This window comes from Homo sapiens, chromosome 12 (assembly GCF_000001405.40).
Source record: "Homo sapiens chromosome 12, GRCh38.p14 Primary Assembly".
Taxonomy (NCBI): domain Eukaryota; kingdom Metazoa; phylum Chordata; class Mammalia; order Primates; family Hominidae; genus Homo; species Homo sapiens.
In genome coordinates this window covers 110,040,062-110,063,461 of record NC_000012.12, presented here as the reverse complement: position 1 = coordinate 110,063,461, position 23,400 = coordinate 110,040,062, and the positions used below count along the sequence as shown (strand labels likewise).

At 46.7% G+C, this 23,400-nt stretch overlaps 1 protein-coding gene across 4 annotated transcripts in view, besides 3 other annotated features; it reads left to right on the top strand.

Annotated features, from left to right (window-relative positions):
- Nucleotides 1-22,285, top strand: part of C12orf76 (chromosome 12 open reading frame 76) — a 32,459-nt gene extending 10,174 nt beyond the window's left edge. Inside the window, exons 2-4 of one of the 4 annotated variants that reach the window (NR_148514.2) lie at nt 4,299-4,474; nt 6,166-6,273; nt 21,003-22,285. Coding sequence is in view for 1 of the 4 variants with exons in the window: in NM_001389625.1 (NP_001376554.1) it covers nt 14,967-15,099; nt 21,003-21,088 (219 nt within the window). In the remaining 3 variants the exon portion in view is untranslated. Of the gene's footprint in view, nt 1-4,298; nt 4,475-6,165; nt 6,274-14,939; nt 15,100-18,928; nt 19,043-21,002 lie in introns of those variants that run through there. The other 3 variants (NR_148517.2, NR_148515.2, NM_001389625.1) reach the window with 3 other exon arrangements.
- Nucleotides 13,992-14,251: an enhancer, noted in NCBI's record as "active region_6993". NCBI's record gives its function as "activates an Ori minimal core promoter by ATAC-STARR-seq in GM12878 lymphoblastoid cells {active_cell/tissue: GM12878}" and the evidence as "EXISTENCE:reporter gene assay evidence [ECO:0000049][PMID:35858748]".
- Nucleotides 15,172-15,231: a silencer, noted in NCBI's record as "silent region_4852". NCBI's record gives its function as "represses an Ori minimal core promoter by ATAC-STARR-seq in GM12878 lymphoblastoid cells {active_cell/tissue: GM12878}" and the evidence as "EXISTENCE:reporter gene assay evidence [ECO:0000049][PMID:35858748]".
- Nucleotides 20,450-20,963: an enhancer, noted in NCBI's record as "H3K27ac hESC enhancer chr12:110480304-110480817 (GRCh37/hg19 assembly coordinates)". NCBI's record gives its function as "activates a minimal SCP1, AML or CMV promoter by ChIP-STARR-seq in primed H9 embryonic stem cells {active_cell/tissue: H9 hESC(primed)}" and the evidence as "EXISTENCE:reporter gene assay evidence [ECO:0000049][PMID:30033119]".
- Nucleotides 22,286-23,400: the final 1,115 nt, after the last annotated feature.

Genomic DNA, 23,400 nt, shown 5'->3' with positions numbered 1-23,400 from the left:
AAAATACAAAAATTAGCCAGGCGTAGTGGTAGGCACCTGTAATCCCAGCTACTCGGAGGCTGAGGCAGGAAAATCGCTTGACCCCGGGAGGCAGCAGTTGCAGTGAGCTGAGATTGCACCACTGCACCCCACCCTGGGTGATGAGAGCAAAACTTCGTCTCAAAACAATAAAAAATAAATAAAAATATTGAGACAATTTTAAAAATTAAATTAAAAAAGGGGGGCTGGGTGTGGTGGCTCATGCCTGTAACCCCAGCACTTTGGGAGGCTGAGGCGGGCGGATCACTTGAGGTCAGGAGTTCAAGACCAGCCTGGCCAACATGGTGAAACCCTGTGTCTACTAAAAATACAAAAATTAGCTGGGCGTGGTGGCAGGTGCATGTAATCCCAGCTACTCAGGCGCCTGAGGCAGGAGAATCACTTGAACCTGGGAGGCGGAGGTTGCAGTGAGCTGAGACATACCACTGCACTCCAGCCTGGGCAGCCAAGCGAGACTCTAAAAAAAAAATCTCTTTATTCAGCCCGCTGCAGGGGTTCACCCCTATAATCCCAGCACTTTGGGAGGCTGAGATGGGAGGATTGCTTGAGCCCAGGAGTTTGAGACCAGTTGAGAACAGCTGAGCAACAAATTGAGATCCCATCTCTAAAAAAAAAAAAAAAAAAAAAAAAAAAATATTAGCTGGGCATGGTGGTGCACACCTGTAGTTCCAGCTACTGGGGAGGCTGAGGTGGGAGGATCGCTTGATCCTGGGAAGTTGAGGCTGCAGTGAGTCGTGTTTATGCCACTAGACTCCAGCCTAGGCGACAGAGTGAGACCCTGTCTCAAAAAAAAAAAAAATCTCTTTTTTTCTATATTTTTCTCAACTTTATTGAGGTATAACTTACATATCATAAAATCACCCATTTTAAATACACATTTCAATGACTTTTAGTAAATTTACCAAGTTGTTCAACCATTACCGTGATCCAGTTTTAGAACATTTCATCAGCCTAGTAAGAGCCCTCATACCCATTAACAGTCACTCCCCACTCCCACTCTCTCCCCATGGTTGCTCAACCCAGGCAACCATGAATCTACTCTATGCCTCTATAGATTTGTCTTTCCTGGACAATCTTTCTTCTTAAATTCAGCAGAGTAAATTCTGTTGTTTAAAACTGGAAACCCTGCCGAATACAATACTAATATCTTCTTTTTTGGGAGATGGAGTCTCACTCAATCACTCAGGCTGGAGTGGAGTGGCACGATCTTGGCTCACTGCAACCTCTGCTTCCTGGGTTCAAACGATTCTCCTATCTCAGCTTCCTAAGTAGCTGGGATTACAGGCGTGCGCCACCACGCCCAGCTAATTTTTGTAGTTTTAGTAGAGAGGGGGTCTTACCACGTTGGCCAAACTGGTCTCGAACTCCTGACTTCAAATGATCCACCCACCTCGGCCTCCCAAAGTGCTGGGGTTACAGGCATGAGCCACCACGCTGGGCCCTAATATCCTCTTATTACAGAAGAAACAATGACTCAGAAAGGTTAAGTCACTTGTCCAAGGTCGTGTAGCCAGTAAGTGGTAGAGCTGAGATTGAACCTAAGCATCTCACACCATAGTCCATGCTCTCATTAAAGTATGCAGTGTAGGCTGGGAGTGGTGGCTCACACCTGTAATCCCAGCACTTTGGGAGGCTGAGGCGGGTGGATCACGAGGTCAGGAGTTCAAGGCCAGCCTGGCCAAGATGGTGAAACCCCATCTCTACTAAAAACTACAAAAATTAGCTGAGCGTGGGGGCAGATGCCTGTAATCCCAGCTACTCAGGAGGCTGAGGCAGGAGAATCACTTGAACACAGGCAGCAGAGGTTGCGGTGAGCCAAGATCTTGCTGCTGCACTCCAGCCTGGGTGACAGAGTAAGACTCCGTTTCAAGAAAAAAAAAAAAAAAAGTATGCAGTGTGCAGTATAGAGAGTGGAGGGGACAGGGTAAGACTGGAGGAAAGGAGACCATTTAGGAGACCATTGGGTTGTCCAGATAGGAAAGCTGATGGTGACCTGGACTGAGGAGGTAGTAGAGGCAGAGGAGAGAAGTAGATGACTTCGAGCAATATTAGAAAGGTAAAACAGTAGGATTTGGCAACTGAATGGGTGAGGGGGAAAGAGGGAGAGAATGAGTCAAGGAGTGTGCCATGTTTCTGGCTTGGACAACTGATAGGTGCTGGAATAACTTGCTGGGATAGGAAATGCAGGAGAAAGAGCCAATTTGGGGTGGAAGATGAGGTCAGAACTGAAGGCATTGAGTTCGAAGTGTTCATGGAACATATGCATGTAGATGTTGAATAGGTGGTTGGATATATGAATCTGGAGCTGAGATGTAGGTTTCTTTTTTTTTTTTTTTTTTGAGTCAGAGTCTCTGGTCTCCCCCACAGAGCTGGCTCTGCATGAATTACTCTTCCTCTATTGCAATGAGCTAAGGGATATGAGGGCAGTTGTGCGATCTTAGCTCACTGCATCCTCCGCCTCCCGGGCTCAAGTGATTCTCCTGTCTCAGCCTCCTGAGTAGCTGGGATTACAGGTGCCCGCCACCACACCTGGCTAATTTTGTATTTTTAGTAGAGATTGGGTTTCACCATGTTGGGCAGGCTGGTCTTGAACTCCTGGCCTCAGGTGATCCGCCCACCTCAGCCTCCCAAAGTGCTGGGATTTCAGGCATGAACCACTGCGCCTGGCCTGAGATGTAGGTTTCTATATCACCAGCATATAGATGGGAACTAGAACCATGGAAGAAGCTGCAATTCACCAGCAAGAGAAGAAGTAGATGAGAAAGCAAGAGGGCCTAGAACCGACCCCGGAGAAGGGCTAACCTTTAAGGGGTGGGAGTGCTGAAGTCCCCAAAGGATTCTGAGAAGGAGTAGCCACAGAGATCCAATGAAAGTCAGGCAAAGGTGGATTCCTGCAAGCTAAGGGAAGGAGGTGAGGGAGGTGGGGCATGGTCACAGTGTCAACTGGTGCTGAGAGTTCCAGGAAGATCAGCTATGTGGTGTGTCTATTGGATTTAGTGACAATGACGTTGTTGTTTACTTGGCAAGAGAGGCTTTAGAGAAGGGATGGGGGTGGGAGCCAGACTGGAGTGGGCGGAGGAGTGAATGGAGATGCAGAAATGGATATGATGACTCACTCTTTCAGGGGACTTGGCTATGAAGAAGAGAGGCATGGAGTGGTGGTAAGAGAATGTGGGATTGAAGAGGGGGTATTTTGGAGACAGAGTTTCACTCTTGTTGCACAGGCTGGAGTGTAATGGGGTGATCTCGGCTCACCGCAACCTCCGCCTCTGGGGTTCAAGCTATTCTCCTGCCTCAGCTTTCTGAGTAGCTGGGAATACAGGCATGTGCCACCATGCCTGGCTAATTTTGTATTTTTAGTAGAGAAATGATGTTAAGTGCAGATGGAAAGGGGACAGGAGAGAAAGGGAAGTTGATGTGGTAAATGAAAATTATCTTCATCATCTTCCTCACCATCACCAGCAGTAACCACAAGGAAAGCTTGTTCTGCTCTGGGACTGCCCTGTCACTTTTCTTCCTGAGAAAATGAGCCAAAATCTTTCCCCCTGTAACTTTCACCTTTGCTTAGTTTTGCCTTGTGTCCCTCTTCAAATGGCTGCACACTGCTACTATGTCTCTCCTCTTCTTCAAACTCACAGCCTCCATCCTACAGGCCATGTGCTCTCAGCCTGGCGACCAGACCCTCAACTGTCTCAACCAAGTTCACACCGCTTGTTTGTCAAGCCCCTCTTAAGAGGCAGTGTACACACTCTTGCTTTGGTGATGGAAGCATGAAATGGTTCAAGCATTTATGATTTAGGAAAATAAACTCAGATAGAAAATGTGCACACCCTTTGACCCAGAAGTCCTGTATAGACTTAATGCCTTAGGTGTGTGAAGAAGCTTGTGCAGGGATTTCTGGCAACATGAATGTGGGGTGGACAGACAGTGAGCACAGTTGTTAGGAGCATAGCCTGAGTGCATTCTTCCTGAGATCAGGAACAGGACGAGGATGCCCGCTTTCACCGCTGCTGTTCAACATTGTACTGGAAGTTCTAGCCAGAGCAATTAGACAAGAAAAGCAATAAAAGGCATCCAGATGGCAAAGAATGAAGTAAAACTATCTTTAATCACAGATGGCACAATCCCATATATGGAGAATCCCGAAGAATTCACAAGAAAACTATTAGATAGAGCTAATTAACCAATTCAGTAAAGTCGCAAGGAACAAGATCAACACACAAAAATTAATTGTGTGTGTGCATTTTTTTTTACACCAGCAAGGAACATTTGAAAAGGAAATTGGAAAAATAATTCCATTTACCATAGCATTTAAGAGAGCTGAGGCTGTGGAGCCAGATGGCTGCGTTCAGAGCTGGCGCTGCTGTTTACCATGTGACCTTGGACAAGCTTCTCGCTTCATTCATACCACAGTTTGTTCGGCTATTAGGTGGAGGTAATACTAGCACCTTCCTTATAGAGTTGGTTTTTGTTTTCATTTTTTTGGTGGGGGGGAGTAAGAATTGCAAAAGTTAATATATGTCAGCAAAATAGACTTAGAAGAGTGGTTGGCACATGGTAAGGACATATTAGGGTTACCAAAAATTGTTTATAATTGGGAAAATTGAACAAAAGTTACAGTTAAATATCTATCCCAGAGACTGACTGGCAAATTATCACAATGTACCTCTTAGCTTGAGCCATATGGAACTGCCTGTATTCTATAGCTATGGCCTACAAAATGGGCAGTTCTTTCTTTCTTTTCTTTTTTTTGGAGAGAGAGTCTCACTCTGTTGCCCAGGCTGAAGTGCAGTGCAGTGGCATGATCTCGGCTCACTGCAACCTCCGCCTTCCAGGTTCAAGTGATTCTCCTGCCTCAGCCTCCCAAGTAGCTGGGATTACAAGCATGCACCACCACAACTGGATAATTTTTGCATTTTTAGTAGAGACAGGGTTTCCGCCATGTTGGCCAGCCTGGTCTTGAACTCCTGGCCTCAAGTGATCTGCCCGCCTTGGCCTCCCAAAGTGCTGGGATTACAGGCGTGAGGCACCATGACCTGCCAAAATGGGCAGTTTCATATATTCAATCACTAGGATACTCTTTAGCCACTGAAAATGATTGTGTATCATAGATCTATCTTTATCACAGATATCTTTACTGTCATAGAAAGAATTAATAACATATTATTGAGTAAAAATAGCAAGTTACAAAACAGCCTGCAGCCTGTAGTGTGGCCACGTTTGTAACATCAGTATATCTGTTTGTGTGTCTAGGTGTGGACATAAAGAGATATCTAGAAGACACTCAAAAGTTTCAACAATGATTGCCTGAGTGATTTGTGCTGGGATCTTCTTTTTTTTTTTTTTTTTTTTTTTTTGAGACCGAGTCTCTCTCTGTTGCTCAGGCTGGAGTTTGCAATGGCGTGATCTTGGCTCACTGCAATCCCCGCCTCATGGGTTCAAATGATTCTCCCACCTCAGCCTCCCGAGTAGCTGGGATTATAGGCGCCCACCACTGTGCCTGGCTAATTTTTGTATTTTTAGTAAAGACGGGGTTTTGCCATGTTGGGCAAGCTGGTCTCAAACTCCTGACCTCGAGTTATCCACCTGCCTTGGCCTCCCAAAGTGCTGGGATTACAGGCGTGAGTCACTGCGCCCAGCTGGGATCTTAATTTATATTTTTTCTTTTTAGCCCTTGATTTTTACCCTGTTAGACTGACTTTAGGAATCTAACCCCCAAAAGTGGAAAGGAATACATTAGTGTTGTTGAAAGCCACTAAGTTAGTGGTAATTTGTTACAGAAACTAATATAATTGGGATTTAACTTGCCTTGGGGGTGCTGGCTCTCCCCCATTTTCTTCTCAGAGCATCTCTTGGGTCCTCAACCCTTGCTGAGCCCCCACCATGGCCTAGAGGACCAGGGATGGACTTGATTAGATTCTCCTCTTGGGATTTTAAAAAAGAGAAGCAGAGGCTGCATGCTCAGCTTCTCCGTGCCGCACTGCAGGCACAGTGCCCGGCGCCACTGTTCTTTAGGGGTCCATGAAGATGTCTGTTGGCCCTGGGTTAGTCATGAGGTAAGGGATATGAGGGCAGTTCACTTTGGAGGCTCAGCCCTTTGGTGTTACTTTTGCTCTGGAACCTTAGGAGCTGTAAGGGGGAGAGGAACTTTGCTGAAAGGCACATCCTCCCTGCAGAGCTTGAAGAACAATCTAACCATGCTGGCATGGGGCCCATCCTACCTGCAATGCCAAGGTAAGTCTGCGAAAGTCACTTATATTCAGAGCATGTGGATTGGGACTCTGAAGAACAACTTTATGGTGGACACCTTCGTCTCCATCTGGTGAGTCCAGCACAAGCAGCCTGAGGGTTCCATGGGCTCAACCTCACCCTCCATCCTTATTTCCCTGCCACTCCAGGGCTCCTCCTCATCCAGACTTGCCTGTGAGTGCCCCTTGATGGATGTATTTGTCTGTTCTCATGCTGCTAATAAAGACATATTCGAGACTAGGTAATTTACAAAGAAAAGAGGTTTAATGGACTCACAGTTCCACATGGCTGGGAAGGCCTCACAATCATGGTGGAAAGTGAAAAGTACGTCTTACGTGGTGGCAGGCAACAAGTGACTAAGAGCCAAGCAAAAGGGGAAACCTCTTATAAAACCATCAGATCTCATAAGACTTAGTCACTATCTCCCACCAGGTCCCTCCTACAACATGTGGGAATTATGGGAGCTACAATTCAAGATGAGATTTGGGTGGGGACACAGCCAAACCATATCAATGGCCCTAACTTCTCTCCCATTAGCTCTCTTCTACCTCCCAGACTCTTTCCAGCTTTCCTCTTTTTCTTCTTCTTTTTAAGAGACTGGAGTCTTACTGTGTTGCCCAGGCTGGTCTTGAACTCCTGGGCTCAAGGAATCCTCCCACCTCCACCTAATGAGTAGCTGTGACTATAGGCATGCACCACCACACCCCCAAAATTTACCCATCCTCCCCGGCCCAGTAAAATCCTCAGCTTCTTCACACCCCTGTTAGCTCCAGGCACCAGCAGCTTTGCCTTCTGTAGAATGCATAAAATTATAGCCTCTTAGAGCAAAAAGGTCATTGGGGTTAGGGAGGCTGAGAGTTCTCTCTTCATTCAGGGATTAAACCTAACACCTGGAAGGGTGACATGGCTTGCCTTAGTCACCAAGCAAGGTCGGGATAGTATTTCTGGGATGGTCATTAGTACTTTCTTTCCAAAGGGAGGACATCACAAACTCAGTTTCGTGATCACAGTATTCCCCTCCTACAGGTAAAGTGTGCAAACTGGATTTCATTCCCTCTTTTTTTTCTTTGACACAGCACTGAAACTTTTTTTTTTTTTTTTGAGATAGAGTCTGGCTCTGTTGCCCAGGCTGGAGTGCAATGGCGCAATCTCAGCTCACTGCAATCTCTACCTCCCAGGTTCAAACGATTTTCCTGCCTCAGCCTCCCAGGTAGTTGGGATGGTTTAGGAGTCATGCAGCTGGAGGCTACAAGATTCTGACCCTCCCTAAACTGCTCCTAAGATCAGTGCTTGAGATATTTTGCAGACCCTGCACTTGATGGATCAGCTCAGTAAACTGACTCATCTGATCTTGTGGCCCCTTCTCAGGAACTGACTCAGCACAAGAAGACAGCTTCGACTCCCTATGATTTCATCTCTGACCAATCAGCACTCCTGGCACACTGGCTTCCCCCAACCCACCAAGTTATCCTTAAAAACTCCATTCCCTGATTGCTAGGGGAGACAGATTTGAGTAATAATAAAACTCCGGTCTCCCCCACAGCTGGCTCTGCACGAATTACTCTTCTTCTATTGCAATTCCCCTGTCTTGATGAATCGGCTCTGTCTAGGCAGCAGGCAAGGTGAACCCTTTGAGCAGTTACAATTCTATTTAATACCTCTGTCTCTGCCAGGCACGGTGACTCACGCCTGTAATCCCAACACTTTGGGAGGCTGAGGTGGGTGGATCACCTGAAGTCAGGAGTTCGAGACCAGCTTGGCCAACATGGTGAAACCCTGTCTCTACTAAAAATACAAAATATAGCTGGGTGTGGCGGCGCATGCCTGTAATACTAGGGAGGCTGAGGCAGGAGAATTGCTTGAACCCAGGAGATGGAGGCTGCAGTGAGCAGAGATAGTGCCACTGCACTCCAGCCTGGGTGACAGAGGGAGACTCTGTCTCAAAAAAAAAAAAAAAAAGCTTCGTCTCATATATGCTGATTAGGCCTCAAATCTGGATCTCTTACCTCTTAGCTCAACATCTTTCTTGACAATCTTTCTTTTTAAATAAATGCTATAGAAATACTAAAATGTATTGTGAATAATGTAACACCCACATACCATCATCCAATTTAACAAATAAAGCATTACTAATCCAGTTTTGCTCCCTGCAAACTCATCCTTCATCTCATTCTCTGACCTTTCCCTTTATAAACACCCTGCAGCCAGGCACAGTGGCTGCACCTGCAGTCCCACCTATTTGGGAGGCTGAGACTGGAGGATCTCTTGAGCCCAGGAGTTTGTGGCTGTAGTGTGCTGTGACTGCACCTGTGAAATAGCCACTGCGTTCCAGCCTCGGCAACACAGCAAGACTCCATCTCTAAACGAAATCCTGAATTTGACATTTGTCATTCCCTTGTTTGTTTTTATATTTCTAAACACATATATGTCTACATATGTAAAAAATATAATTTTTACTTTTTTATTGGGGTGAAGTTCATATAACACAAAATTAACCACTGTAAACATGAACAGTTCAGTGGCATTTCAGAGAGGTGTGCAACCACCACATCTAGTTCCAGATCATTTTCATCACCCCAAAAGGACACCCCATGCCTATTAGTAGTCACTCGCCATTTCTCCCTCCCTCTGTCCCCTGCAACTACCAATCTACTCTCTGTCTCTATGGATTTACCTATTCTGGGTATTTCATATAAATGGAGTCAATCAATATGTGTGGCCTTTTGTGACTAGCCTCTCTGAGGTAGCAGACATAATGTTTTCAAGGTTCATCGATGTAATAGCATGTATGAGTACCCTGTTCCTTTTTTATGGCTGAATAATATCTCATTGAATGGATAGACCACATTTTGCCTATCCATTCATCCATAGATGAACATTTGGGTTATGTGAATAGTGCTGCTATGCACATTCATGAATAGGTAGTTGTGAGTACATGGTGTGGCTTTGGATTTCTCTAAACTTTATATCACACTGCAGCTTGCTTTGTTTTTTCAGTGTTAGGTTATTTCCATGTTGATATGCACAGCTCTAGTTAATTCATTTTCACTGCTCCAAAGCATCCCATTTTTAAAATTATTTTATTTTATTATTTTTTTTGAGACAGGGTCTTGCTCTGTCGCCCAGGCTGGAGTGCAGGGGTGCAATCACAGCTTACCATAGCCTTGACCTCCTGGGCCCAAGCAATCCTCCCACCTTGGCCTCCATCTCTACAGGCTCGTGCCACCACACCCAGCTAATTTTTGTATTTTTCGTCAAGACAGGGTTTTGTCCTGTTGTCCAGGCTGGTCTCGAACTCCTGGGCTCAAGCAATTCCCCTGCTTCAGCCTCCCAAAGTACTGGGATTACAGGCATGAGCCACCGCGCCTGGCCCAAAGCATCCCATTGTATGAATCCAACAATTTATCCATTTATTGTTTGAGAACATTTAGGTTATGTCTTGCTTTCCCTCTTACAAGCAATGCTGCAGAAGCATTCTTGCCCATAACTCCAGCACATGTACAAGAGTTTCTCTAGGGCACATATATAAGAGTTTTATTGCTGGGTCATGAGGAATGCTCTTCTTCAAATGTACTTGCTATTGACAAATATGAGCTATCTTTTCAGGAGCCTCCCAGTGGTCCTCAGCCCTGGCTATGCATTAGAATCAGCTGGGAACTTTTTTGTTTTCCCCCCAAGACAGAGTCTTGCTTTGTGACCCAGATTGGAGTGCAGTGGTGCAATCTCGGTTCACTGCAACCTTTGCCTCCCAGGTTCAAGCAATTCTCCTGCCTCAGCCTCCGGAGTAGCTGGGATTATAGGTGCACACCACCAAACCTGGCTAATTTTTGTATTTTTAGTAGAGATGGAGTTTCACCATGTTGGCCAGGCTGGTCTCGAACTTCTGGTCTTGAGTGATCCACCCACCTCGGCCTCCCAAGGTGCTGGGATTACAGGCGTGAGCCACCGTGCCCAGTCTCACCTGGGAACTTTTTTTTTTTTTTTTGAGACAGTCTAGCTCTGTCATCAGGCTGGAGTACAGTGGCACGATATTGGCTTACTGCAACCTCCACCTCCTGACTTCAAGTGATTCTCCTGCCTCAGCCTCCTGAGTAGGTGGCATGTGTCACCACGCCCAGGTAATTTTCCTATTTTTAGTAGAGACAGGGTTTCGCCATGTTGGCCAGGATGGTCTTGATCTCCTGACCTTGTGATCCGCCCACCTTGGCCTCCCAAAGTGCTGGGAATACAGGCGTGAGCCACTGCGCCCAGCCATGAACTTTTAACAAATATATAGGTATCTGGATAACTCCCCAGACTCACGAAATCATAGTCTCCAGGGATGGATCTGGGGAGCTGCAATTTTGAAAGCTCCCTGGGTGGTTACATAGCCAAGGTGGAGAACAGCTGGGGCTGAGTCTTGGCCCACTCTGTCTCAGCTTCCCAAGGTCAGCTCATACAGGGCAGCCATCATCTTAGACTTGCTAATATTATTCAGCAGCTGGGCAGAAAGAAGGGACTAAATAAATAAACTGAATGAGTAAACAAAGCATTTAAAACAAACTCTTTAGGCTGGACGCGATGGCACATGCATGTAATCAGTCACAGTAACTATCTCCTACTGTTGTGAGGATTAAAGGGGATGTTGCATGTAGAGCACTTGGCACGTATTAAGTGCCCAATAAAGAGTAGCTCCTGCAGCCTGGTGTGGTGGCTCACACCTGTAACCACAACATTTTGGGAGGCTGAGGTGGAGAATCGCTTGAGGCCATGAGTTTGAGACCAGCCTGGGCAACATAAAGAGACCCCTGTTTCTAGAAAAAATAATAGAAATTAGCCAGGCGTGGTGGTACACACCTGTAGTTCCAGCTACTCAGGAGGCTGAGGTGGGAGGATCGACTTGAGCTGAGGAGTTGGAGGCTGCAGTGAGCTATGATTGTGCCACTACACTCCAGCCTGGGCAACAGAGCGAGACTCCGTCTCAAAAAAAAAAAAAGAAGGCCGGGCACGGTGGCTCATGCCTGTAATCCCAGCACTTTGGGAGGCCAAGGCGGGCGGATCATGAGGTCAGGAGATCGAGACCATCATAGCCAATACGGTGAAACCCCGTCTCTACTAAAAAAAAATACAAAAAATTAGCCAGGCGTGGTGGCGGGCACCTGTAGTCCCAGCTACTTGGGAGGCTGAGGCAGGAGAATGGCATGAACCTAGGAGGCGGAGCTTGCACTGCACTCCAGCCTGGGCGACAGAGTGAGACTCCATCTCAAAAAAAAAAAAAAAAAAAAAAAAAGAGTAGCTGCCATTTTCAATGTTATTGATAAAGCAGGTGGGTGTTTCTGGAAATGCACCAGACACAGCCTTTGACTAGAAGGTGCAAGCTGGTGAACCCACTGGAGTGGGACTTTATGACTTGAGAAGCTGTCCTATCCATGAGGGTCCATGTTAGGCAATGTTAAAGAATGGGATTGGGGGCCGGGCATGGTGGCTCACACCTGTAATCCCAACACTTTGGAAGGCCAAGGCAGGCAGATCATGAGGTCAGGAGTTCAAGACCAGCCTGCCCAACATGGTGAAATCCTGTCTCTACTAAAAATACAAAAATTAGCCTGGTGTGGTGGCGTGCGCCTGTAATCCCAGCTACTCAGAATGCTGAGGCAGGAGAATCGCTTCAACCTAGGGGGCGGAGGTTGCAGTGAGCCGAGATCACACCACTGCACTCCAACCTGGGCGACAGAGCAAGACTCCATTTAAAAAAAAAAAATGAGATTGGGGGCAGCAGCTTTCCTATAGCGAGTGCTCAGTATGTGCCAGATACTGGGCAAAGGAGTTTGCAGACATATATCATTTGATCCTCACAATTCATGAGGCAGGTATGATTATGCTTCCCATTGTGCAGAGAGGGAAAACGAGTCACACGGAAGCAAGTCATGCAGCCGAGCTAGGATTGGAACGGAAGTGGCCTGCAGAGCCTGCCTCCCACCCCACTGTGCTATGCCTCCCATTGATGCTTTCCTGTGCCTGCCATTTAGCTTTGCTCTGGTGAGTGGCAAGCTGTACCAGTGGAAAGAGCCTGTCATCAGTTCTGTGCACAGCAAGGTGAAAAGGACAGCAGAAGTGAAAGAGGAGATCGTGGAGAAAGAAATGAAGAAGTTGGTGCACAGTGTCTTTAACATGGCAGATTACACCTTCCCTTTGCAGGTGAACACCTGGTAGTGTTAACGGACCCCAACACTTACCCAAAGGTAGCCATTGGGTCAGGTTTCTGCACTATAGTCCCTTCTGTGGTTGCCAGAAATACGTTACAGGAAAAGGGTCCCGATCCAGACCCCAAGAGGGGGTTCTTGGATCTAGCGCAAGAAAGAATTAGGGCAAGTCCACAGTGCAAAGTGAAAGCAAGTTTATTAATAAAGTAGTGGAATAAAAGAATGGCTACTCCATAGACAGAGTAGCCCCCGAGGGCTGCTGGTTAGGCATTTTTATGATTATTTCTTGATGATACGCTAAACGAGGGGTGGATTATTCATGCCTCCCCCTTTTAGACCATATAGGGTAACTTCCTGACATTACCATGGCATTTGTAAACTGTCATGGCGCTGCTGGGAGTGTAGCAGTGAGGACGACCAGAGGTCACTCTTGTCACCATTTTGGTTTTGGTGGTTTATAGCAGGCTCCTTTACTGCAACCTGTTTTATCAGCAAGGTCTTTATGACCTGTATTTTGTGCTGACCTCCTATATCATCCTGTGACTTAGAATGCCTTAACCGTCTGGGAATTCAGCCCAGTAGGTTTCAGCCTCATTTTACCCAGCTCCTATTTAAGATGGAGTTGCTCTGGTTCACACGCCTCTGACATTTGTATTGCACATCCATTGTGAGGTGAATGATACTAATCCCACTACAAATCAAACCTTCAGGAGGTGAGGCAATGTGTGAGGTGGTAAAGCCTCCAGATTCAAAACTATGCTTGGGTCAAATTCTAGCTCTGCCACTTTGTGTGTGCAGTGTTGGGCCAAACACTTAGCTCAATTCCCTCATGTATTCAGCAAACAGTTACTGAATATAATATGCTACTCTTCTAGTCTTGTAGCAGGACGAGCCGCAGACAAAACCTCTCAGACACCGAGTTGTAGAAGGAAGGGCTTTATTCAGCTGGCAGCATCGGCAAGCTACTGCCTTAAAATCCGAGCTCCCCGAATGCACAATTTCTGTCCCTTTTAAGGGCTCCTCACAGCACTAAAGATTTCACATGAAAGGGTCGTGATTGATTTGAGCAAGTAGGTGGTACGTGACAGGGGCTGCATGCACCAGTGGTAAGAGAGAAACAGAACAGGGCAGGGAGTTTCACAACGTTCTTCTATACAATGTCTGGAATCTATGAATAACATCGGTTTCTAAGTTATGAGTTGATTTTTAGCTACTGGGTGTGAGGCCTCTGAGCCCAAGCCAAGCCATCGCATCCCCTGTGACTTGCACGTATACATCCAGATGGCCTGAAGTAACTGAAGATCCACAAAAGAAGTAAAAATAGCCTTAACTGATGACATTCCACCATTGTGATTTGTTTCTGCCCCACCCTAACTGATCAATGTACTTTGTAATCTCCCCCACCCTTAAGGTACTTTGTAATCTCCCCCAACCTTAAGAAGGTTCTTTGTAATTCTCCCTACCCTTGAGAATGTACTTCGTGAGATCCACCCCTGCCCGCAAAACATTGCTCTTAACTTCACCGCCTATCCCAAAACCTGTAAGAACTAATGATAATCCACCACCCTTTGCTTACTCTCTTTTCGGACTCAGCCCGCCTGCACCCAGGTGAAATAAACAGCCATGTTGCTCACACAAAGCCTGTTTGGTGGTCTCTTCACACACGTTTGGTGGTCTCTTCACACACATGAAACTGGGTTTAGGCCAGGCAGGCCCAGGCCTGGTTTCGGGCCTGGCGCCGGGCTGCCCGTCTTTGGTTTCACTTCCTTGTTGTTTCTTCTTAAAACAGGTACTGAGTATAAAACAATATAAAACAAAATGAGAGGGTCTCTCTCTCCCCCAGTCTCTGGGACAGAGCAGAGAGCAAGAACAAAATCGCTGTGCTCGTGGACTTTACATGCTAGGGCGGAGCAGGTCCTCAGAAAATCATCAAATGTACGTTAAATGTATAAGGTAAATGGTGATGAGTCTAAAGTGAATGGGGGGAATGGAAGAGAACGAAGGTAGGGAGAATGTACATTAAGGGAAAGGGAGGGTTGCAATTTTAGAAAAGGATGTCTGGGCAAGGGCTCCCTGAGAAGATGGCATTTGTACTATAGAAACACAGTATCTATTTTCCAGGCCCGTAATGAAGGTTTAATAAGAAAATGCATGGATTCGTAAAAAATCTTCAATAGGCCCCAAATGGACCTACAAGACCTCGACCCCAATGGATGAGGGAACGCTAACCACAGCAGAACGGTAATCGCGGCGAACGTTGGCACAGACGGAAAGTTGATCTGAACGGAAAGTTGGTCCGGGGGAAACATTAGTTATTGAGGAACGTTAATCCGGAACAAATCTTAGGCAGAAGCGGAACTTAGACCAGGACGCACAGTTACCATGGCAATGACGCGCGCCCTAAGGGCGGTGGCAGCGACGCAGAGAGACCTGGGAGGAGACAGAGGCAGGGCTTGCGACGGAAGTGGCCTCTCTGCTTCTGCAGGGCTGGGGAAGATGCTGCGTCCAGCGTTACCGTGGCTGTACCTTGGCCTCTGCAGCCTCCTGGTGGGGGAGGCAGAGGCCCCGAGCCCCGTGGATCCGCTGGAGCGGAGCCGGCCGTACGCGGTGCTGCGAGGGCAGAACCTGGGTGAGCGGCCCTCGGGCTGGCGGGCGGCGGGTAGTGCCTGAGCTTTCACTGCTCCGGGTGCTGGAGCCGGGCATGTACGGAGCGGACAGGGGATAGAGTGGGGAGATGGGTGAGTGCGGGGGGTGCAGGTGAGGCCCCTCAGGGGGCCCCGAGACTCCCTCTCCAAAAGCCTGGGGCAGAAGGCCTGAACTTTGCCTCTCAGCAAGTGCTCAATATGTGCCAGAACCTTCGCCTCCCAGGTTCAAGCAATTCTCCTGCCTCAGCCTGCCGAGTAGCTGGGATTACAGGCGCACACCACCACACTTGGCTAATTTTTGTATTTTTAGTAGAGATGGGGTTTCACTATGTTGGCCAGGCTGGTCTCAAGCCTGGCATGGTGTCCAGTAAGCTCTCAATATGTACTGCTTGCCCATGAATGAACTGCAATCGGGAGACCTGGGTCTCATTCTGGGTCCTCTCCTCTCTGGCAGTGTGGGCTCAGGCTAGGCAACAAGGCACATCATTTACCCCACCCCTCTTCTTTCCCAGAGGAGCCAGTATTTATTGCAAAAATGATAACAGTTTTTGAGCATTTCCTACATCCCATGTCTTGTGCTACGCACTTTGTATACGCGAATTCATTTGAGCCTTACAATAACTTAATGAGAAACGTACGGTTTGCAGCCCTTTTTTTTTCTTTTACAATAGTGTCTCCTCTGTCACCCAGGCTGGAGTGCTGTGGCACGATCTTGGCTCACTGCAGCCTCGGCCTCCTGGGTTTAAGTGATCCTGCCACCTCAGCATCCCGGGCGAGTAGCTGGGACTACAGGCGTGCACCACCACACCTGGCTCATTTTGTTGTTGTTGTTGTTTACTTTTTGTAGAGGTGGGGGTCTCGAACTCTTGGGCTCAAGCAATCCTCCTGCCTCGGCCTCCCAAAGTGTTGGGATTACAAGTGTGAGCCACCGCACCTGATGTTGCAGCTCTATTTTTCAGATAAGGAAAATGAAACTCAGAGAAGTGAAGTTATTTGCCCAAAGTTACATAGCTAGGAAATGATGAGGCCAATACTAGAACCTGTTTGGGGGCTTGAAACATAAGTTGTGGGAGGATATCTTCAACACACACACACGCTGCGTAAATATGTGTGTGTGCATGGCTTTGGCTTTGGAAGGAGTTCTGGAACTTAAAGCTTGGCAAACTTCACAATAAATCTGCCCCTCGCCAAAGTCTTCCCTTCCCACTGTATCTCCTTGGTACATCTGTATATCTACAAAGTGGCTATTAGTATCATTTTGGATTATCTTGACTCTACATGAACTCAGTGTTTGCCATGTGTTGACGACTTACTGTGTACCTAGCACTCTACTAAATAGTTTCCACACATTATCCCACTCGATCCTTCAGAACAGGGTTTCTCAACCTGGATATTACGACATGTTGGATAAATGATTTCAGGGGGCGAGGGGCAGTGGGGGGGCTATGATAAACACTGTAAGAAGTTTGGTGGCATCCCCAGCCTTTAGATACCAGTAGCACCCCCTACTCCTAATCAAGATAGTCAAAATCTCTCCAGACATTGCCAAATGTCCACGGTACGCCAAATCCCCATTGGATACCCACTGCTGTGGAACAGTACTACTCAAAGGGTAGTCTGCAGACCAGTGTGAGTCTGCAAACTATGTTATCTGCAAAGAGATGACTACAGAAATTGAGAGTGTTTAGAAACTTAACAGTTTGACATTGTTGCAACATCCAAGCACTTAGAGACCAGTTCTAGGTGTCTCTGAACTGGAATGCTTTGCAGATGAAGGGAACTGGTTATTAGTCATGCACAGTAGGGCTATGTAGTGGTCTGGGACAGACTAGAAATTATAAAAACTACTCCTTTGCCATAGATAGTTTGAGAAATGCTGTCCTAGACAGTTCCGTACAGTTGGTATTTATTTATTTTTTTGAGATGGAGTTTTGCTCTTGTTGCCAAGGCTGGAGTGCAGTGGTGCGGTCTCAGCTCACTGCAGCCTCCGCCTCCTGGGTTCGAGCAATTATCCTGCCTCAGCCTCTTGAGTAGCTGGGACCACAGGCGTGTGCCACCACGCCCAGGTAATTTTTGTATTTTTAGTAGAGATGGGGTTTCACCATGTTGGCCAGGATGGTCTCGATCTCTTGACCTCATGAACTGCCCACTGTGGCCTCCCAAAGTGCTGGGATTACAGGTGTGAGCCACCACGCCCGCCCTAAAACATTCTTTTAAGGTTCTGCCTGGGCCTGCAATTCAGGCAACTGTCACTGCATGCAAAGTGTAGGGAGAAGTGAAAAGATGACGACTGGGAGAATTGATCAGGCCCCAAATGCATGGCCATTGTGTACCTAACAACTCATGGTTTTAAGCTCCTTTTTAAACTTTATTTTTATTATTATTTTTTATATGGAGTCTCACTCTGTTGCCCAATCTGGAGTGCAATGGCATGATCTTGGTTCACTGCAACCTCCACCGCCCAGGTTCAAGTGATTCTCTTGCCTAAGCCTCCCAAGTAGCTGGGATTACAGGCACCCACCACCGTGCCCGGCTAATGTTTGTAATTTTAGTACAGAGGGGGTTTCTCCATGTTGGCCAGGCTTGTCTCGAAGTCTTGATCTCAAGTGATCTGCCCATCTCGGCCTCCCAAAGTGCTGGCATTACAGGTGTGAGCCGCTGCGCCTGGCCTTTTTTATTTTTTAAAGGTAGATTTCCATTCCCCAATTCCAATCTTCTGCATTCCTGCTTTGGGAGTTTTAAGTTTTTTATTTTTTATTTTTTTGAGATGGAGTCTCGCTCTGTTGCCAGGCCAGTGCAGTGGCGCGATCTTGGCTCACTGCAACCCCCGACTCCCTGGTTCAGGTGATTCTCCTGCCTCAGCCTCCCGAGTAGCTGGGATTACAGGTGCCCGCCACCATGCCCAGCTAATTTTTGTATATTTAGTAGAGACGGGGTTTCACCACGTTAGCCAGAGTGGTCTCGATCTCCTGATCTTGTGATCCGCCCGCCTTGGCCTCTCACTGGGATTACAGGCTTGAGCCGCTGCGCACAGCCGAGAGTTTTAAATTTTTTTTGGAGTTCTTCCAAAATGCGAGATGCAAGAAAATGTTCTTAAATGGAATAAGACAACTTTAAGTCCAATTGTAGTCCAAACCATAGAAACTCAGAATTCAGGACTTTTGAAAATTAGGGCAGGTATTCAGTTAACAAGGGCTATTTTAAGACATGACATTTAGTTCACGTAGGTTGGAGATTTTGTTTGACAAAGATCTTAAAATTACTTCTGGCCTTTGGAGTTATGACATGCTGTCTTTGTCACCTTCTCCTTCCTTCTTCCCCCTCACTCACCAAAAAAAGATGAATTTTCTTTTCTTTTCTTTTTTTTTATTTTGAGACGGAGTTTCGCTCTTGTTGCCCAGGCTGGAGTGCAGTGGCGTGATCTTGGCTCACCGCAACCTCCGCCTCCCGGGTTCAAGAAATTCTCCTGCCTCAGCCTCCCAAGTAGCTGGGATTACAGGCATGCACCATCACGCCCAGCTAATTTTGTATTTTCAATAGAGACAGGGTTTCTCCATGTTGGTCAGGCTGGTCTCGAACTCCCGACTTCAGGTGATCTGCTTGCCTTGGCCTCCCAAAGTGCTGGGATTACAGGCGTGAGCCACTGCACCTGGCCTGATTTTTCTGTATAGTCGGTTTTAAAATAATAACCGGTTTAAGCGTGGAGGGTGTGTGTGGGGTGGGGGGGTCACAGATACTACAAAGTTACTGATTTAAATAAAACTATGGTCAAATCTTGGTTTTTCTTTTGTTTTGTTTTCTTTTTTTTGACAGAGTCCCTGTCGCCCAGGCTGGAGTGCAATGGTGCGATCTCGGCTCGCTGCAACCTCCGCGTCTGGGGTTCAAGCGATTCTCCTGCCTCAGCCCCCTGAGTAGCTGGGATTACAGGTGCCCGCCACCATGTCCGGCTAATTTTTGTATTTTTAGTAGAGATGGGGTTTCACCATGTTGGCCAGGCTGGTCTCAAACTCCTGACCTCGTGATCTGCCTGCCTTGGCCTCCCAAAGTGCTGGGATTATAGGCATGAGCCCCCTTGCCTGGCTAAATCTTGGTTTTTCAAAGGAACAGTAATGAGACTGAAGAACAACCATGGTTAGGCCCTAGCTGGAACCTGGGATGGGCCCACATCCCTACAGACACACATCAGTGTACATTTGCTTGTTTTGAATGCTTCCCAAGATCGCTGAGATAGTTACAGAAACAAGATTGCGTATCACTGCTGCTGTTGAAGAAACCTCTGACAGGTTGCTGGTTACGCTAGTTTTTTTTTTTCTTTATTTTTTTTTTTTTGTTATGTAGTAGTTTAAAGCCCAGGTCCTTATCCTGTATCACCAGGGCTCAACTTGAGTAATCAGTTGTAGTTCCCATTTCTCACCTGAGCACCTTGAAAATTTCAGATGTGAAATTTAGTCTTAAAAACGTAACATTTTTTTTTTTGTTTTTGTTTTTTTTTGAGACAGAGTCTCCCTCTATTGCCCAGGCTGGAGTGCAGTGGTATAAGCTTGGCTCACTGCAACCTCTGCCTCCTGGGTTCAAGCAATTCTCCTGCCTCAGCCTCCTGAGTAGTTGGGACTACAGGCACACACCACCACACCTGGCTAATTTTTTTTGTATTTTTAGTAGAGACATGGTTTCACTATATTGGCCAGGCTGGTCTCGAACTCCTGACCTCGTGATCCGCCTGCCTCGGCCTCCCAAAGTGCTGGGATTACAGGCATGAGCCACCGCACCCAGCCAAACATAGCAGATTTGTGAGTTAGTTGCTTCTTTGCTCAAAAGGCCCTGTCAAGACTCATCTTGAGACTGAAATACTTTATTGAATCTCCAGGTTTTTATTAATGGCTTTAAAGGCATAGTTGGGCATCCTGCTCTCTTGCTCCCCTATAGTCAAACAATTCTCCACACAAAAGCCAGAGGAATCTTTTTTTTTTTTTCCGACTAAATCAGATGATGTCATTCCTTTGCCTACAGCCCCCTAGTGGCTTCTCTTTAAACTTAAAATCCGTGTTTTCTTCATGGTCTCCAAGGCCTTGCACAGACCAGCCCCAGCCTTCCTTTCTGGCCTGATTTCCTGCCTCTCTTCCTGCACTCCTTGCCTGGTTGCCTCCCTTCTGTTCACTGAGTGTATTGGGCTTATACTGGCCTCAAGGCCCTTCCTTAGCTGATCTGTGGGCCTGCAGCATGCTCCCTGCAGAGCCTCACTCGTAAGGTCTCAGTTTTTTGTTGTTGTTTTTTTTTTTGAGGTGGAGTTTCATTCTGTCGCTTAGTGGCGCAATCTCGGCTCACTGTAACCTCCGCCTCTCGGGTTCAAGCGATTCTCCTGCCTCAGCCTCCTGAGTAGCTGAGTAGCTCAGGAGTAGCCTCCTGAGTAGCTGGCGGATGCCACCACACCTGGCCAATTTTTGTATTTTTAGTAGAGACGGGGTTTCACCATGTTGGCCAGGCTAGTCTCGAACTCCTGACCTCAAGTGATCCACCCACCTAGGCCTCCCAAAGTGCTGAGATTACAGACACGAGCCACCACACTCGGCCTGTCTTAGTTTGTGAGTCTCCTCCTCGGATGCTTCCTGACTGTCCCCCCTTCTTGCTGCCCACCCTGTCTCCATCCCTAGCATGTTACTGTTTTTTTTTTTCACGGTATATCAAGCTATGTGAAATGCTCTCATCTGTTTGTTTCTCCCCCAACTATATTTAGAGACAACTGGAGAGAGGATCTGTTTACAGCTGTTTGCACAGCACTTGACATAGTGCCTGGCAGCAAGTGGCATTTGATAAATCATTGGCAGTGAGTGGATGAATTGCCTAACCTGGAGCTGCCATTAGGAAGTAACCTGTTTTCCCTTTGCAGTGTTGATGGGAACCATTTTCAGCATCCTGCTGGTGACTGTCATCCTTATGGCATTTTGTGTCTACAAGCCCATTCGGCGTCGGTGACAGCCAGACAAGTTCTTCAATGAGTATTTGGGAATAGGATAAGTTGTGTTGCACACAGGCCAGTGGAGAAGTTGGAACCAAAACTTTCCTACTTGGAAATGACCTTTGGTCTGGACAGTTGGTAAATGCTAAATGAATTAGAAGAAAACATGTACTAGACATTATTTTTTCCTAACACTGTAGCGCAAATAATTGGCCCCTGAGTCCGCTTCTCAGTGTTTCTGACTGTACTTGTTAAAAGTAAGACCTGAAAGCTCCAAAGGTCAGTGTAAAGATGGAGTGTTCATGAGAAAGAAAACATGGTAACCTTGTGAGTGCCTGTAAGAACCACACTGTAAAGAACTCATCATTAATGCTTGAAAATGTTATTAAGAAGGAGACTTACCATGCAGACATTCCCTATTTAAGAACCATTTGGTTACAGTGGGTTAAGAATCACAGATTTTTTTTTTTAATCTCACCTGAGTTAGCCTAGAATGCGCTGGTTGCAAAGTGGTGTCAGCTGTGGGGATCTTGGGCCCTCGTTCCTCACCTGCATCCTGCCCTGCACTCAGGTGCTCCCCCTGAAGTCAGGGTCACATCAGGTAGACCTGTTACTATATGCACCTTTGGCCTGGAATGCTCTGAAGTTGGACTGGAAATGTTACTAGGTTGGCCTGTTACAAAAAGGACCCCATCCTGCTTAAACACATTGATCTCCCTTGCCCTGCATTTGAGTCTTTCTAGCCCACGGTCTGAAACTTGAGGCAGCTTTCCAGATTTGGAATGTAAAAGGCTCAGTGGGCACTCTGTTCATCCCTGGGTGGGGAGGGCCCAGCCAACAGAAGTGCATGTCCACTGTGCGGGCCAGTGTGTGTTTACACAAATTTCATCTCAGCTTTGAAAATGCTGCTATTAGTTTCCACTGTTGGTGAACTGGATTTTTTCCTCCTATTGAAATGATACTTTCATACTTATAAAGCTGTCGTCAATATTTATTTCAAGGTGCTAGATTTAATTTTGTTATTAAATTGAAATGCTTATCTTGTGTTCAAGCACAGCACTGATTTTAACAACCTGCATTTAATGTGAAGTAACCGAAGTAGGATACTGTAACTGTGTAAGGATTTTGTTTGTAATCTTGTAACATTGAACCATTGAAATGTTCAGTTCTTTGCTTTTGAGCAAAACGTCAATTAAAACTAAAGTAAAATCCTATATATTGTTTTACTCCACCAGTTATTTCCCAAGTGTTTGAAATGCAGGTGTGTGTCTGAATTTGATCTAATCACTTAAAGAAGCTCTGTGAAGTGAAATTTCTTTTTTTGAGACGGAGTTTGGTTCCTGTTGCCCAGGCTAGAGTGCAATGGTGCATTGTTGGCTCACTGCAACCTCCACCTCCCGGGTTCAAGCGATTCTCCTGCCTCAGCCTCCAGAGTAGCCAGGATTACAGGCATGAGCCACCATGCCTGGCTAATTTTTTTGTATTTTTAGTAGAGATGGGGTTTCACCATGTTGGCCAGGCTGGTCTCAAACTCCTGACCTCAGGTGATCCACCTGCCTTGGCCTCCCAAAGTGCTGGGATTACAGGCGTGAGCCACTGCGCCTGGCCTAAAGTTGAGATAAAAGTCTCCTAGTGCTGCCTATGATTTAGTGACTGTGGAGTCATATCAGCATGTTGTATTTTTTTCCACCTGGACCTCAGGCTTAAACCTACACATATTTCTAAACAGAGGCCTAGGTGGTACTTTGAACTTCATCACTCACTGTACCACTGAATCACTTGAAATCTCCACATCCAGTTCATCTTCCTTGATGTCATTTGTGGTCAGCAGGAGACTGCGACCAAGCTGGCAGTTATGGCAGTTTCCCTTTCCTGTCATTATTTAGAGCAGACTTTCAATCCCTTGACATGCCACGTTTATGTAGTGTGACAAGCTTGTTTATAGAGCAGAGTGCCTTAGGAACTTAGTTCCTAGCAGTGTCTAACGTGCAGAAGTTGCTCAATTAAAGTTTCTGGCCGAGTGCGGTGGCTCATGCCTGTAGTCTCAGCACTTTGGGAGGCCGAGGCGGGTGGATCACCTGAGGTCAGGAGTTCGAGACCAGCCTGGCCAACATGGTGAAACCCCGTCTCTACTAAAAATACAAAAATAAGCCAGGCATGGTGGCACACGCCTGTAATCCCAGCTACTCGGGAGGCTGAGGCAGGAGAATCGTTTGAACCCGGGAGGCAGAGGTTGCAGTGAGCCAAGATCGCGCCATTGCACTCCAGCCTGGGCAACAAGAGCAAAACTCCGTCTCAGGAAAACAAACAAACAAAAAAAAAAAACCAC